Source organism: Homo sapiens, chromosome 13 (assembly GCF_000001405.40).
Source record: "Homo sapiens chromosome 13, GRCh38.p14 Primary Assembly".
Classification (NCBI taxonomy): domain Eukaryota; kingdom Metazoa; phylum Chordata; class Mammalia; order Primates; family Hominidae; genus Homo; species Homo sapiens.
In genome coordinates this window covers 20,218,467-20,232,946 of record NC_000013.11, presented here as the reverse complement: position 1 = coordinate 20,232,946, position 14,480 = coordinate 20,218,467, and the positions used below count along the sequence as shown (strand labels likewise).

The 14,480-nt window shown below is 46.7% G+C and overlaps 1 protein-coding gene across 9 annotated transcripts, besides 1 other annotated feature; it reads left to right on the top strand.

Moving 5' to 3' along the window:
• GJB6 (gap junction protein beta 6) lies at positions 628-10,985 on the top strand. 9 transcript variants are annotated; one of them, NM_001110219.3, is made up of 5 exons: positions 628-753; positions 1,442-1,565; positions 2,140-2,249; positions 3,198-3,367; positions 9,452-10,985. In NM_001110219.3, the coding sequence occupies exon 5, from the start codon at positions 9,467-9,469 to the stop codon at positions 10,250-10,252; it is 786 nt and encodes a 261-aa protein (NP_001103689.1). In that variant the 5' UTR covers positions 628-753; positions 1,442-1,565; positions 2,140-2,249; positions 3,198-3,367; positions 9,452-9,466; the 3' UTR covers positions 10,253-10,985. The 9 variants fall into 9 exon arrangements, with proteins under 9 accessions (NP_001103689.1, NP_001357019.1, NP_001357021.1 ...); NM_001370090.1 differs by having other exon boundaries at positions 2,134-2,249; NM_001370092.1 differs by having other exon boundaries at positions 628-850.
• Positions 13,196-13,375: an enhancer, noted in NCBI's record as "active region_7417". NCBI's record gives its function as "activates an Ori minimal core promoter by ATAC-STARR-seq in GM12878 lymphoblastoid cells {active_cell/tissue: GM12878}" and the evidence as "EXISTENCE:reporter gene assay evidence [ECO:0000049][PMID:35858748]".

The following is a 14,480-nucleotide window of genomic DNA, read 5'->3' as shown; positions in this document are numbered from 1 at the left end:
TCAAAGGATGGAGGTAATTAATAAAAACAACCCCTGTACCTCCTCTAAGTGGTCATTAATTAATAAAGAACCTCCAGGCTCCTATAGGAGAGGTCTGTGCACCCCGCGGGCTATGAGAAGGCTGGATCACCCAGAAAGACTGAGGATGTGTCCTGGCAAAAACACAGCCTGCCCCTCACACTGCTCCCCACGGGTGCACTAGGGAGGAAGAGTTCCCTCGAGGGCCTGAGCAGGCGCCCCACACCTGCACCCGTGCAGAGGGGGCTGGGCCCGCCCTCTGCGCTCCCGAGGGAGAGCCCTACCCCCTGCATCCCCGGTACCCCGTTCCCTCCAAGGGCCGGAAAGAGGGCCCCGCGCACTGTGCACTTCTTAGGGGTCCCCCACCCTGCGCCCCCGCCACGGGAAAAAGGTCCCCGCTCTGCGCATCCGGCCCCGGAGGGACAGCCCCGGTCCTGCACTCCTTGCTCCTCAGGGGGACGGTCCGCGCCCAGCGGCTAGTGCGCCCCGGGTAGGTGGGGGCGGGGGGCTCGTCGAGTGACAGCGCTCGCCTCCCGCAGCCCGCCCGAGCCGCGTCAGGGCAGAGGCGGGGTGGGGCGCGGTTAAAAGGCGCAGCAGGTGGGAGCCGGGGCCTTCACCCGAAACCCGACGAGAGCCCGACAGCCGGCGGCGCCCGAGCCCGACCTGCCTGCCCAGCCGGAGCGAAGGGCGCCGCCCCGCGCAGAGCCCGCGCCAGGGCCGCCGGCCGCAGAGCAGGTAAGCGGGCGCGGACCGGCTGGGTCTTGCGGGGGGCGAGCGGGCGGTGCCACCTCGGCCCCCCAGCGGAGGAATTTCCTCCAAGAAAACAAAACAGGTGAGGTCGGCGGCTGGTCCCCACCTCGCCCCTGTCGCTCCTGTCTGGCACCGGATCAGAGCCGGCAGAGCGCGGCCGGGATGGGTGTCTGGCCGCACGTGGGGCGACCGGGCCCCCGATCTGCCTCTATCCGCACCCTCCTGTCCACGCGCCCCGGCCCCGGCCCGATGGCAGTGGGCGCCGCCCGCGCTGGACCCTCTCTCTGTACGCAGAGGAACGAGGATGGACTGGTTTGACTTTTACCCCAGCGTGGTCCCCTTTGACTTGTACAACAGGTTTTATGAAGGTTTCATATCGTGTGTCTAAGAGGCCAGAGTGAGGGCCGGTGCCCCTTTCCCCCGTTTCATTTGCTGCGTGTTGGATTTTCTAAGCTTTTGTGGGTCACCGGGGTGTCCCCTTGGATTTGGGGAGAAGAAAGCCAGGTCTAGGATGCGGGTTTCAGTTCAGACAAACCCTCAACTTGGGCCGATGCATAAGTCCCCGGAGAACCGCAGGGTATGGGCTGCGTGATGGGCTTCCGAGAAACTTGTGAAATGCTGATGACAATAGCGTGGACGACAGTAATTAAAAGTAATTGGCGACACATCTTAGTTAAAACGTGCAGGCACCAGAAGGCACTTCCTGTCGGTGAAGAAGACCTGTCTCCGGTGTCACGGGCATCCTGTGTTTTGCAAACGGGGCTGACCTCCCTTCCTGGGGAGCAGGAAGGGTCAGGGTGAGTGTGGCCTGCCCGCAGCTCTGCACTCCCGGAGGGGTTAGGGACCTGCAACCAGGCGGGGACACTGGCCCAGCGACCTCAGTGTCCCCTGGGTGGGCGTGCACTCTGTTTAGTGTCTGATTGAACGTAACCGTGCCGGGTTGTTCTTTTCCCTCAAGTAGACTTTATGCCATACAGCTATTTTCTTGCCCCAGTTCTAGCAGAATCTAACCAGTGTTCTAGAAGAAAATGTCCTGCCCCCATGCAGTCTCCTTAGAATTGCAGGGTGCTGCTCAGAACTGCTCCTGTGGAGAGCTTTGTCTGTTGTTTGGATCCAGCAGCGTCTTTGGGGGTGTTGCTTGAAGCTTGCCAAGGAGGAGAGGGGGGTTCTGAAGAGAGAACACCAGGGCTCTAGCCTGTCACATAACTGGGGGTGTGGAGAGCGCCTCATTGCCACTGCAGTGACTAAAGCTGGGAAGACGCTGGTCAGTTCACCTGCCCCACTGGTTGTTTTTTAAACAAATTCTGATACAGGTAATGATGACTTTATGCTTTTTTTCTTATGTCTTCTCTTCTGAATTCTGAGTGTTAGGAAGGAAAAGAAGTACAGAAGATCTGGCTAAACAATTTCTGTATGGCGAAAGAAAAATTCTAACTTGTACGCCCTCTTCATGCATCTTTAATTCAATTTGAATATTCCAGGTGCTGTGAGCAGTTTGCATATATTAGTTTAAATGTTAAATGGGATAAAATTGTGGGAAAGTGATTTCTGACCCAAGCTTCTTGGTCTGTGAGGGCATAACCTTCTAATGGCCACCTGCCATAGGTTATGATTTCTGTTTTAGTTGCTTAGTGCATGAGCATAGACCTGGAACCCCAGAGGGCCTGCTCCATTTTTATTCCCAGGGTCATTTAAATCTAGTTGAGCTTAAATGTTTGGAAAGGACACAGGTTTGCTTGAATGAACAAACATATATTGCTAACAAGACCCAGAGAAGGAAAGTTTAACTTAATGGAAATTAATTTTTAACTCTTTGAATTCTTAAATGATGTAAGAAACATACGTAATTGCATGAGTTTTCCATTTTTACATCTAGACTCCACAGACAGAAACGTTTCATTTTTATTGAGTTAATTTTGAAATATATGAATCCCTGACCCATTGTTATCACTAGCTGTTACTCTATCAGGACAGTTGCTGAAGTTTTTTGTCACTAAATTTAAAAATCAACTATCAGGTTGTCCCTTGGATGACCTGAGATTTCTAGAGACAAAAGAAATCTATTCTTCCTGATTGAAGAAAGAGTCTGAGATTTTTTTTAAACCACTGATTTGGGGATCAGGGTGTAGCCAGTGTCTCAAACTCTCCCCTGTCCCTTTTTGTTTTGCTCAAGGAGTGGGCTTGAGGCCTCAGATTGGGTGTTACTGTTATTTTGATAGGGAAAGGATCCTACTAAAGAGCACCTTTGATTATTTTGTGTGTTCAAAGCATAGAGCATCAGGAAGCTGGCAATTTCTGAACTTACCTCATAACAGTTCTGGGAATGAAGAAAAACTACCCACAAAGTTTATTCAGGGGACATATTGCGGGGGGCGGGGGGGGGGGGAGTTAAAGGAATATGGCAACAGCTACTATTTTTCCCTCAACAGGCGACATCCTCACTGACCGAGCAAAGATTGACATTCGTATCATCACTGTGCACCATTGGCTTCTAGGCACTCCAGTGGGGTAGGAGAAGGAGGTCTGAAACCCTCGCAGAGGGATCTTGCCCTCATTCTTTGGGTCTGAAACACTGGCAGTCGTTGGAAACAGGACTCAGGTTTGCTTGTTTTGCTTTGATATTGTTTTCCTTTTATCTATGCAGACTCCCCGACTATCCAAAGCTAACTTCGAAATTGGGAGGCACATGTTCCTGTTCTCAGATCTATCAACTACTCCCTAGATGGCCAGGCGCGATGGCTCATGCCTGTAATCCCAACACTTTGGGAGGCCGAGGCTGAGGTCAGGAGTTCAAGACCAGCCTGACCAAGGTGGCAAAACCCTGTCACTACTAAAAAAAAAAAAAAAAAAAAAAAAAAAAAAATTAACCAGGTATGGTGGCATATGCCTGTAGTCCCAGCTATTCAGGAGGCTGAAGCACAAGAATCACTAGAACCGGGGAGGCAGATGTTGCAGTGAGCTGAGATTGCACCATTGCACTCCACCCTGGGCAACAGGGCAAGACTCTGTCTAAAAAAAAAAAAAAAAATTTTTTTTTTTTTTTTTTTTTTTTTTTGCTAAATGACATTGAAAGGGGAACAGAGCTATCTAGAAAAATATGCTGAGGGGTTACACTCTAACTTTGGGGGCTTTAGTTTTGGTTCTGTCATTAGTGAAATTATAATGGCATAGATAAATAAGCTAGTTGTGATTAATTTCCTAAGAAGTTTTAAAACAATCAAGAAATTTCATTAGTGCAGTCAAATGCCAATAGATCTAAATTATTTGAATTGTAAAAGGAAAGAACAACCTATCTTCACAATGCTGTGTGGATCCTCAAAAGTAAAGTCCATGGTTTACTTATTTTTAGAGCTAGATATTTCAGACTGGAGCTTTAGTATCAAGAATATAGCATGGGCCGGGCGCGGTGGCTCATGCTTGTAATCCCAGCACTTTGGGAGGCCAAGGGGGGCGGATCATGAGGTCAGGAGATCGAGACCATCCTGGCTAACACGGTGAAACCCCGTCTCTACTAAAAATACAAAAAATTAGCCGGGCTTGGTGGCAGGCGCCTGTAGTCCCAGCTGCTCAGAGAGGCTGAGGCGGGAGAACGGCGTGAACCCGGGAGGCGGAGCTTGCAGTGAGCCGAGATCGTGCCACGGTACTCCAGCTTGGGCAACAGAGCTAGACTCCATCTCAAAAAAAACAAAAAACAAAAACAAAAAACAAAAACAAACAAACAAGAAAAAACAGCATCGAGTTCTTCACTATGATTACATTTACTACAAAACCGAACACAGTTTACCTTTTTAAGTTTAAATGTAATCACATTCTTAGAAGTTGAAGACTGCAGAAGCTAAGCGTATCTATTCTTTCCTTAAAAGACAGCCAGAGAGGCATCAGTTAAAATGAACCTCTCTGGTTTCCGAAGAAAGAGTTAATATTTCACTTTGTATTGAAAAAGCTCCTCCCATTGGCTCCAGCCCTCCAGAAGCAGGAGAGGAAAGAGGTACTTTGTTTACTACAGTTGCAAAGGGTCCCAGTGGATGCGATGATTTTGGAAAGTAATTTGAAATTAGTGACGACTTCACAAATTGAAATAGCCTTCAAATCTTCTCCAACCAAGAGGGTTTGTGAAAGATTATGCCCTGTGGTTATGTGTTTTTACAAGGGAGAACCTGGGGGCTGGGCGCTTTCTTTGCCACCCCCAACCCACAACATCCTTCCTCTGGGCCCCTCTGCAGTCTGTCCACCCACCCTGTCCACCCACCAAAGTCAGGACAGGAGCAGTCAGTGGAGTTGAGTCCTCCTTAAAACTTGCTGAGTCTCCTGCGTTTACTGCCATCCTCCCACCGCTCCTTGAATGGGAGCGTCTCCTGGGGCAGCCAGGCCTGGCCAGTAATGGCAGCAATGTGCTGGAAATTTGGGGGCTTGATAACCCGCAGCTGACCCATCACCCTGGCCTATCTCTTGACACTTGCGAGGGGAGCTCTCTTCTCCCTGGCTGTTGGCCTGCAGAGAATGATACGCACGGCAGATCCCCGGAGCTGGTTGGTGAGCCCCTCAGGTGTGACACAACCTGGAAAAGAATGGAAAGAGCCACTGTCTCACTGTCTCAGTTGGGAAACACCAGCTCAGGGTCACTGAGCACCCAGGGGCAGCCCACTCAGGACCGGGCAGGTTCGGAGAGAGGACACAGCTTCTCCCTTGGATCACTTCTGCTGTTAGGAATAACAGGGCCTTTGTGGCTCTTGCAGGAGGACACTCTGAACCAGGAGACTGTCCTGAGTGACCGGGGAGTTAGACACACTTGTATTGGATTTAACCTCATTTTTCTCAGCAAGCTCGGCATCTCCTTTACTTTTCTTCCTTTAAAGGCATAGGTGGATTGCCAATTTTTAGTACCGGTATCGAGAAGCGCGCATTGTGAAACAGATTATATTCTGTTCAGTTTTGCTATGTTGATAGAACACCCTCAGACCGTGTGGCTTGGGGACCCAGAAAAATCCAAAGAAATTTAAAAAGCTACTGCCCTTATAATTGTCCCTGTTTTTAGAAAAAAAAAACAGGGAGAAGCCCAAAGCTGCAGAGGTCAGGGACCCTGCTTCTAGAAAGCGTGGACCAGTGTTCCTGGGGGGGAGTTGTGACCTCTTGACCTTTTCTGTGACTTTAGCCTCTCAGAATCATCCAGGCCATGTCCCCCTCTGGCTCCCTGATCTGTTTACTTCCTAGAAGGTTGGACCACAGGGGACCACGGGGTGCCGTTGTTCAGGCAGGCCACGGGCTAGAGAACCGAGAGAACACAGCTGTCTCACCTGCTGGGGAGGTTAAATTCTATGGACTTTGAAGTGTTGGAGAAAATGTGAACCATTTTTTGATAAATCAAACTCTTGCTGATTGGGCATTTTGTTGACCAAATTTCAATGGGAGGTGTTTCTTGGTTAATAAGAAAACATCTTCATTTTATAAATAAACAGGACTGACCCCATAGGTGAACAGCTGCTGTAAAATATGTTTACACATCAAGACGTACAAATTTCTTGCTCCTCACTGGTCACATTTTGAAATGCTTTTGAGATAGAACATCAACAGTTAGGAAAATGTATTATGTCTTTCATCTGAGAATAAAATTAATTTTACAAATCATATCATTTAACATGAGCTTTTTAAATGGAGCTGCATTTACTGTGGACATTGGCCATCTCTTTTGGCTGTGAAATATGTTGTATATGAAAGGGAGGCATTAGTACATACACTTTAATTATGGAACGCTGGGACCAGGGCTTCCAGAGGAGTCCCCTGTGCATTACCCCAGCAGACACTCACACAGCCTCTGATGAAATGCTTCAAGGGATGAGAAAACATGGTGTGAAGGGTAGCCCATTTCAATTTTCTTTTTTTTTTTTTTTTAAGAAAAACCTGGCTTTCTGTTAATGCTGAGTGTCAGATCCAGTTCTTAGTCCTAGATCCACGCAGGCATTGAATCCTCTGTTTCACATTCCAGGGTCACCGCCCTGTGCCTCAGCGTCTTCCTCAAGCTAGTGTTTGTTCTGTTCTCTCGGCTGTGAGGTAACCTCCAGCCTCTTCCATCTGTCCACACACCTGTTGATGCGCCCCCGAGGGCCAGGTCTTTCCTGAAACATGGAAAGAGCCCACCCTTCCAATGTGGGCTGCCCGGGGAGCCCAGCACTCTGTTCCCTTCACACAGCCTGAGCCTCAGTCTCTTTTTCGCAACCTTGTGCTGTGGCGCTGATGTCCCGCTGATAAGGATGTTCCTCCTAAGGAATACTGATATTCCTGAAGTAAAATGCTAGGCTGCAGTTATTGAAGGAATCATGAAAATACAACCTCCCAACGATAGCAGAGGCGGCAACAAAGACCATTGTGATTCCAAGACTCGGTGCCATTGCCGTTGTCATAGTTGCTATCACGGAACTCTTAACAAGAAGTTTAGTGACACTGTTTTAGAATGTTGCTGGGGGCTCAACAGAAAGTCCCCCAGTTCACACATATACGTTTTCTCTTATTTTAAAAATCAAGATATTTGCCCTTCTCCAGGAATTGGGCCCCTCTTTTCATTCTGAATAATAATATTCTGCTCTCCTGTGGAAATGCTTAAAGAATTGAACATAGAATAACCATGAGATCCAGCAATCCCACATCTAGATACCTAAGAGACTTGAAAGCAGGGTCTTGAAAAAATAGTAGTATACCCTCACTCACAGTAGTGTTACAACAGCCAAAAGCTGGAAGCAACCCAGTGTCCATTGATAGATGAATGGGTAAACAAAATGGGGAGCATCCATACGGTGGAATAGTATTCAGCCTCCAAAATAAGGAAATCCTGTCACACGCAGCAACATGGATGAACCTCGAGGACATTATGCTGAGTGAAATAAGCCAGTTCCAGAAAGACAAGTGCCGTGGATTTCTACTTATATGAGGACTGTAGAGCAGTCAAAATCATAGATGCAGAAAGTAGAATGGTGGTTGCTAGGGGCTGGGGAGGGGGGAATGGAGAATTGTTGCTTAATATTAATACCCAACCAAGGGCAAAAAAAACAATTTCTCAGAAAGCCAACGGAACTAGGAGTCGGACTTTTCCAACAGGTCTGCTGACTTTCTAAGTCTACAAAAGATGTTGCCTTGGGGCACACAGTAGCACCCCACTCTGAGGCCAAGGCACTCCTGGGTGGGGAGAGGCTGCCTCCATTTACCCCACTGCTTCCAAGAGCAGCCAGCGTAATGCAGAGGGGCAGGTGTGTGGGCCAGAGCGTGAGGTCCAGGGGGCTGGCCTGAGAAGGGGAGGCTGACAGGTGTCCCTCACCCACTCAGGGATAAGAAAGTCTAAGACCGGTGAAGAGAAGGACTTTGGTGACTCCCTCATGCCCCGACAGCCTGTAAAAAAAATGCCTGAGTGAATTACTCTGGGGAGAGGTCTTTTACTTTCTGAAAATTTTCAAAGGGTCCATGATACCTCCTTTTATTTTTCAAAGGAGAATGCTGACCAATTCTATAGTCTTCTGTGGCAGTATAGGCTAAGAAGGCAGCTGTTTGAATTATAGCAAAAGTGTCCATAGCTGTAAAGAAGTCCTTTTTCTCTCGGGATAGAGAATCAGTGCATTAACAGGGAAGGAGGCACTGGGTGGCAAGGGCAGCAGATCCCCTCCTCGGCTGCCCCTGGCGCAAACAGGACCCGCTGGGGAGGCAAAGCCAACGTGGGCTTGGTTATACTGCAGATATATTGGAGAACAATGGAGCAATCTTTATAAAAGATTGTGAATCTCTTTTAGAAGAGGCTTTCTCAGTAGTTGACAATATTAGATTTCCTAAGAACACATGAGTATGGCAGATGATGTTATTCAAGCTAGAATTAAGTATAAATATATTGTATAAAGTAAGCTAATAAGTATTTTGTTTTTTCCCTTCTTAGTCTGTTGGGTAAACTAGAATATGTCATTCCAATGAAAGTTTTTTTTCCCCCTGAATAAGCTATTTAATGAATAAAATCTACTGTGGAAGCTAGGTGAGCCCTAGGAGAAAGCCAATCTGGTGTAATGGATCAGACAGTGATTAAAAGGGAGCTTGGAAATGAATTTGTTTACCTGTGTTCCTGGATTAATGCAAACAGCAATCTAATATATGATCTGAATTTAGTTGAATCAAGATGATCCTAACCCCTCTTCCAAAAAGTTGTTTCTGACCAAAAACATGATAATTTTTTTTTTTTCGAGACAGAGTCTCGCTCTGTCACCCAGGCTGGGGTGCAGTGGTGCAATCTCGGCTCACTGCAAGCTCCACCTCCCTGGTTCACGCCATTCTCCTGCCTCAGCCTCCCAAGTAGCTGGGACTACAGGTGCCCGCCACCACGCCAGGCTAATTTTTTTTTCGTATTGTTAGTAGAGATGGGGTTTTACCTTGTTAGCCAGGATGGTCTCGATCTCCTGACCTCATGATCTGCCCGCCTCTGCCTCCCAAAGTGCTGGGTTTCCAGGCGTGAGCCACCACACCTGGCCAAACATGAGAATGCTTTCAGGGTGGGCATTCCTTTTCAGAAAACCTCAGACTAGCAGGGCAGGGAGTTGAAGTTGTAAAGTATCACAGCCTACCTTAAAATAAAGTTGGCTTCAGTCTGTAATATCACCGTGTCACTTTCCCAAGGCCTCTTCCACTAATAAACCTTTGCCCACTTTTGTCTGTTTAGGGATAAACCAGCGCAATGGATTGGGGGACGCTGCACACTTTCATCGGGGGTGTCAACAAACACTCCACCAGCATCGGGAAGGTGTGGATCACAGTCATCTTTATTTTCCGAGTCATGATCCTCGTGGTGGCTGCCCAGGAAGTGTGGGGTGACGAGCAAGAGGACTTCGTCTGCAACACACTGCAACCGGGATGCAAAAATGTGTGCTATGACCACTTTTTCCCGGTGTCCCACATCCGGCTGTGGGCCCTCCAGCTGATCTTCGTCTCCACCCCAGCGCTGCTGGTGGCCATGCATGTGGCCTACTACAGGCACGAAACCACTCGCAAGTTCAGGCGAGGAGAGAAGAGGAATGATTTCAAAGACATAGAGGACATTAAAAAGCAGAAGGTTCGGATAGAGGGGTCGCTGTGGTGGACGTACACCAGCAGCATCTTTTTCCGAATCATCTTTGAAGCAGCCTTTATGTATGTGTTTTACTTCCTTTACAATGGGTACCACCTGCCCTGGGTGTTGAAATGTGGGATTGACCCCTGCCCCAACCTTGTTGACTGCTTTATTTCTAGGCCAACAGAGAAGACCGTGTTTACCATTTTTATGATTTCTGCGTCTGTGATTTGCATGCTGCTTAACGTGGCAGAGTTGTGCTACCTGCTGCTGAAAGTGTGTTTTAGGAGATCAAAGAGAGCACAGACGCAAAAAAATCACCCCAATCATGCCCTAAAGGAGAGTAAGCAGAATGAAATGAATGAGCTGATTTCAGATAGTGGTCAAAATGCAATCACAGGTTTCCCAAGCTAAACATTTCAAGGTAAAATGTAGCTGCGTCATAAGGAGACTTCTGTCTTCTCCAGAAGGCAATACCAACCTGAAAGTTCCTTCTGTAGCCTGAAGAGTTTGTAAATGACTTTCATAATAAATAGACACTTGAGTTAACTTTTTGTAGGATACTTGCTCCATTCATACACAACGTAATCAAATATGTGGTCCATCTCTGAAAACAAGAGACTGCTTGACAAAGGAGCATTGCAGTCACTTTGACAGGTTCCTTTTAAGTGGACTCTCTGACAAAGTGGGTACTTTCTGAAAATTTATATAACTGTTGTTGATAAGGAACATTTATCCAGGAATTGATACGTTTATTAGGAAAAGATATTTTTATAGGCTTGGATGTTTTTAGTTCTGACTTTGAATTTATATAAAGTATTTTTATAATGACTGGTCTTCCTTACCTGGAAAAACATGCGATGTTAGTTTTAGAATTACACCACAAGTATCTAAATTTGGAACTTACAAAGGGTCTATCTTGTAAATATTGTTTTGCATTGTCTGTTGGCAAATTTGTGAACTGTCATGATACGCTTAAGGTGGAAAGTGTTCATTGCACAATATATTTTTACTGCTTTCTGAATGTAGACGGAACAGTGTGGAAGCAGAAGGCTTTTTTAACTCATCCGTTTGCCAATCATTGCAAACAACTGAAATGTGGATGTGATTGCCTCAATAAAGCTCGTCCCCATTGCTTAAGCCTTCACATGCCTTGTGGTTTCTGTTGCATCTGGGCAGCTTGCTGCCAACCCTCGTGGTATGATGAGTGGGTTGGGTGCTTTTGCTGGGAAGGCCACCAGTTACTGTGGGTGGAGGGGCCTGGAACTTCAACAGCGATACTTGCACCCTCCCTGCAAATGGGCAGAGGCTAAGTTTAGCAGCCTACAGAGCACTCAGCTTGGAGGGGGCCACTTGTACGACACTAGGATGATGTCCTCAGGGTCAGTTCATCCCAGAAAGAGAGGAGGTTAGGGAAGTCTTAAGCCTTCATCCCATGTGACTGAGAAAAGCACCCACAGTTTAGCACCCAGAGGTGGGAAACCTCTTTCCCCCCAAGGATTTCCAGATGGGACACAGATGCCATTAGTATGGGTGTGGGTGAGGCAGGTGCAGACTGATCACTGCTGGGAGCAATGGCACACCCATGATCTCACTCCTAAAGAGACATAGCATGATACACCACCCATGGGGACATCCAGTGAACGGTGAACACAGATGTGGGCTTGGTGTGGCATGCTGATTCCTCCAGGACCTCCTTCAAAAACTTGCTCCAGAGAAACAAAAATACTCTTCTCATTTTCTTTAGTCTAAAGCAAACCCCAAAATATTTCAGCCATAATATTTTAGTACCAATCTATAAAAACCAAGGACTAAGCTTTTAAAGCAAAATCACAATTTCATCATCACACTAAACCAACCAAGTTGGCATTCATAATCCCTGCTTTTCCTGGGATGTTCCTTTCTTTTTATTTTATTTATTTATTTTTATTTTTATTTTTTGAAACAGAGCCTCACTCTGTAGCCCAGGCTGGAGTGTAGTGGCACAATCTTGGCTCACTGCAACCTCTGCCTCCCAGGTTCAAGCGATTCTCATGCCTCAGCTTCCCAAGTAGCTGGGATTACAGGCGTGTGCCACCATGCCCGGCTAATTTTTATATTTTTAGTAAAGATGAGCTTTCACCATGTTGGTCAGGCTAGCCTCCAACTCCTGGCCTCAAGTGATCCGCCCTCCTCGGCCTCCCAAGGTGCTGAGATTAAAAGCGTGAGCCACCGCGTCCAGCCCTGTTCCTTTCCTTTTAAATCGCTGGTTGTACGGGTATTGCATGAAGCCCACAGGAAGTGGGGAAGATAAGGGGCAAATAACACAGCCTTGGCAATAATCCCAGTATGAATGGAGGAGGCATCTTCTCCCCACCTCTCCCCCAGGACTGCTGCAGTTGGCCACTCCATTCTCTCTCTCCTTTTTTAAACAACAAACTGAGGTAAAATGGATATACACAGAACTGCACATATTTAAAGTGCCTAATTTGATGGGTTTGGACCTATGGAAACACCCGGGATACCCAGCACAACAATCAGGGTAATAAACATACCCATCACCTCCAAAAGGCCCCTGTGTTGCATTGTTTTTTGCAGTAAGAACATTTAACATGAGAACTGTCCTCTTAACGTATTTTGAAGTGTGCAATACATATTGTTCACTACGGGCAGGATGCTGTGCAGAAGATCTCTAGAACATATTCTTCTAGCATAACTGAATTATATCCATTGAATAATAATTCCCCATTTCCTTAAATCCACACCCCTCCCCAGCCCTGGAAACTGCCGTTGGATTCTTTGCTACTCAGAGTTTGACTGTTTTAGACGCTCACATCAGTACGATCAGGAATATTTACCTTTCTGTGCCGGGCTTATTTCACTTAACATAATGTCCTCTGGGTTCATCCATGTTGCCGCAGATGGCAGGATTTTCTTCCTTTTTAAGGTCGAATAATATTCCATTGTATGGATATACCATACTTTCTGTCTTCATTTATCTGTCAAAACTACCATAAGATATCACCTTACACCTGTTAGGATGGCTATTATCAAAAAACAAAACAGAAACAAAGGATGAGTGTTGGTGACGATGTGGGGAAAATGCAGCTCTCATGCAGTGTTAGGAATGTAGAAGAGCGCAGCATTATGGAAAGCAGAATGGAGGCTCCTTAAAATATTAAAAGTAAAATGGCCAAATGATCCAGAATTGCACTTTTGGGTATATGCTCAAAAGAGTTAAAACCAGGATCTCAAAGAAATACTTGCACACCTGTGTTCATTGCAGCATGATTCACAATGGACAGGATATGGAAACAACCCTCCTCTCTCTTTCACTTTCAATCTCTTCATTTTTAGTTTCTTTCTGCTCTTTAACCTCTCTAAAAGCTCCTTCCCTCTTGAGCTACAGCCTGGTCTCTCCATACCCTGCCATCAAGATTCTGAGAATGGCAGGCACTTACTTCCTCTTTCCCCAACTATTCCACAGCAATGAATCTGGGTCCACCTTCACCACTGAACTGAAGCCATTATCAACACCAATGACTTTCTGAATGCCACATCTGATGGCTTCTTCTCAGGTGTCTTCTTCCAACAATTCTTTTAAAAATCTTTTACTGGCTGGGCAGGGCGGTTTGCGCCTATAATCCCAACGTTTCATGAGGCCAAGACAGGAGGATCGTTTAAGGCCAAGAGTTTGAGACCAGCTTGGATTCTTTTGTACAGCAAGTCCCAGTCTCTACAAAAAAAAACAAAAACAAACAAACAAAAAAAACTTGTAATCCCAGCTACTCAGGAAGCTGAGGTGGGAGGATCGCTTGAGACCAGGAGATTGAGGCTACAGTGATCTATGATCACGCCCCTGCACTCCAGCCTGGGTGATAGAACAAGACCTTATCACAAAAAAATTAAAAATTAAATAAAACTAATATTTTACTAGATTCCCACACACTGCCCAACCTAACCATGGTTCTCCTGCCCCACCTCCACCTGCCCATCAATCTCCTGCACTGGCTTCTCTTCCTCTCTCCGTCCTCAGGTAAAATTACCCCAAGAACCTTTTATTACTCACCCTGCACTCTTCCTCAGCAATCTTGTTTATCTTCCCAATTACCCTATGAGATATTAGCCTCATTTTACAGACAAAGACACTGAGGTCAGAAAGGTTGAATAGAGGCTGGGCGTGGTGGCTCATGCCTGTAATCCCAGCACTTTGGGAGGCCCAGGCGGGCAGATCACTGAGGTCAGGTGTTTGAGAACAGCCTGGCCAACATGGTGAAACCCCGTCTCTACTAAAAATACAAAAATTAGCTGGGCGTGGTGGCACCCACCTGTAGTTCCAGCTACTCGGGAGGCTGAGGCACAAGAATTGCTTGAACCCGGGAGGCAGAGGTTGCAGTGAGCCGAGATCACGCTATTGCACTGCAGCCTGGGTGACAGAGTGAGACTCAGTCTCAAAAAAAAAAAAAGAAAGAGAAAGAAAGGAAAAGAAATAGAAAGAAAGAAAGAAAGAAAGAGAAAGAAAGAAAGAAAGAAAGAAGGAAAGAAGGAAAGAAAGAAGGATAGAAAGAAGGAATGAAAGAAAGAGGAAAGAAAGTCTGAGTAGATTGAGCGAGGTCACACAGCTAATAAGTAGCAGAGCCAAGATTCACAGCCGGTCTGACCC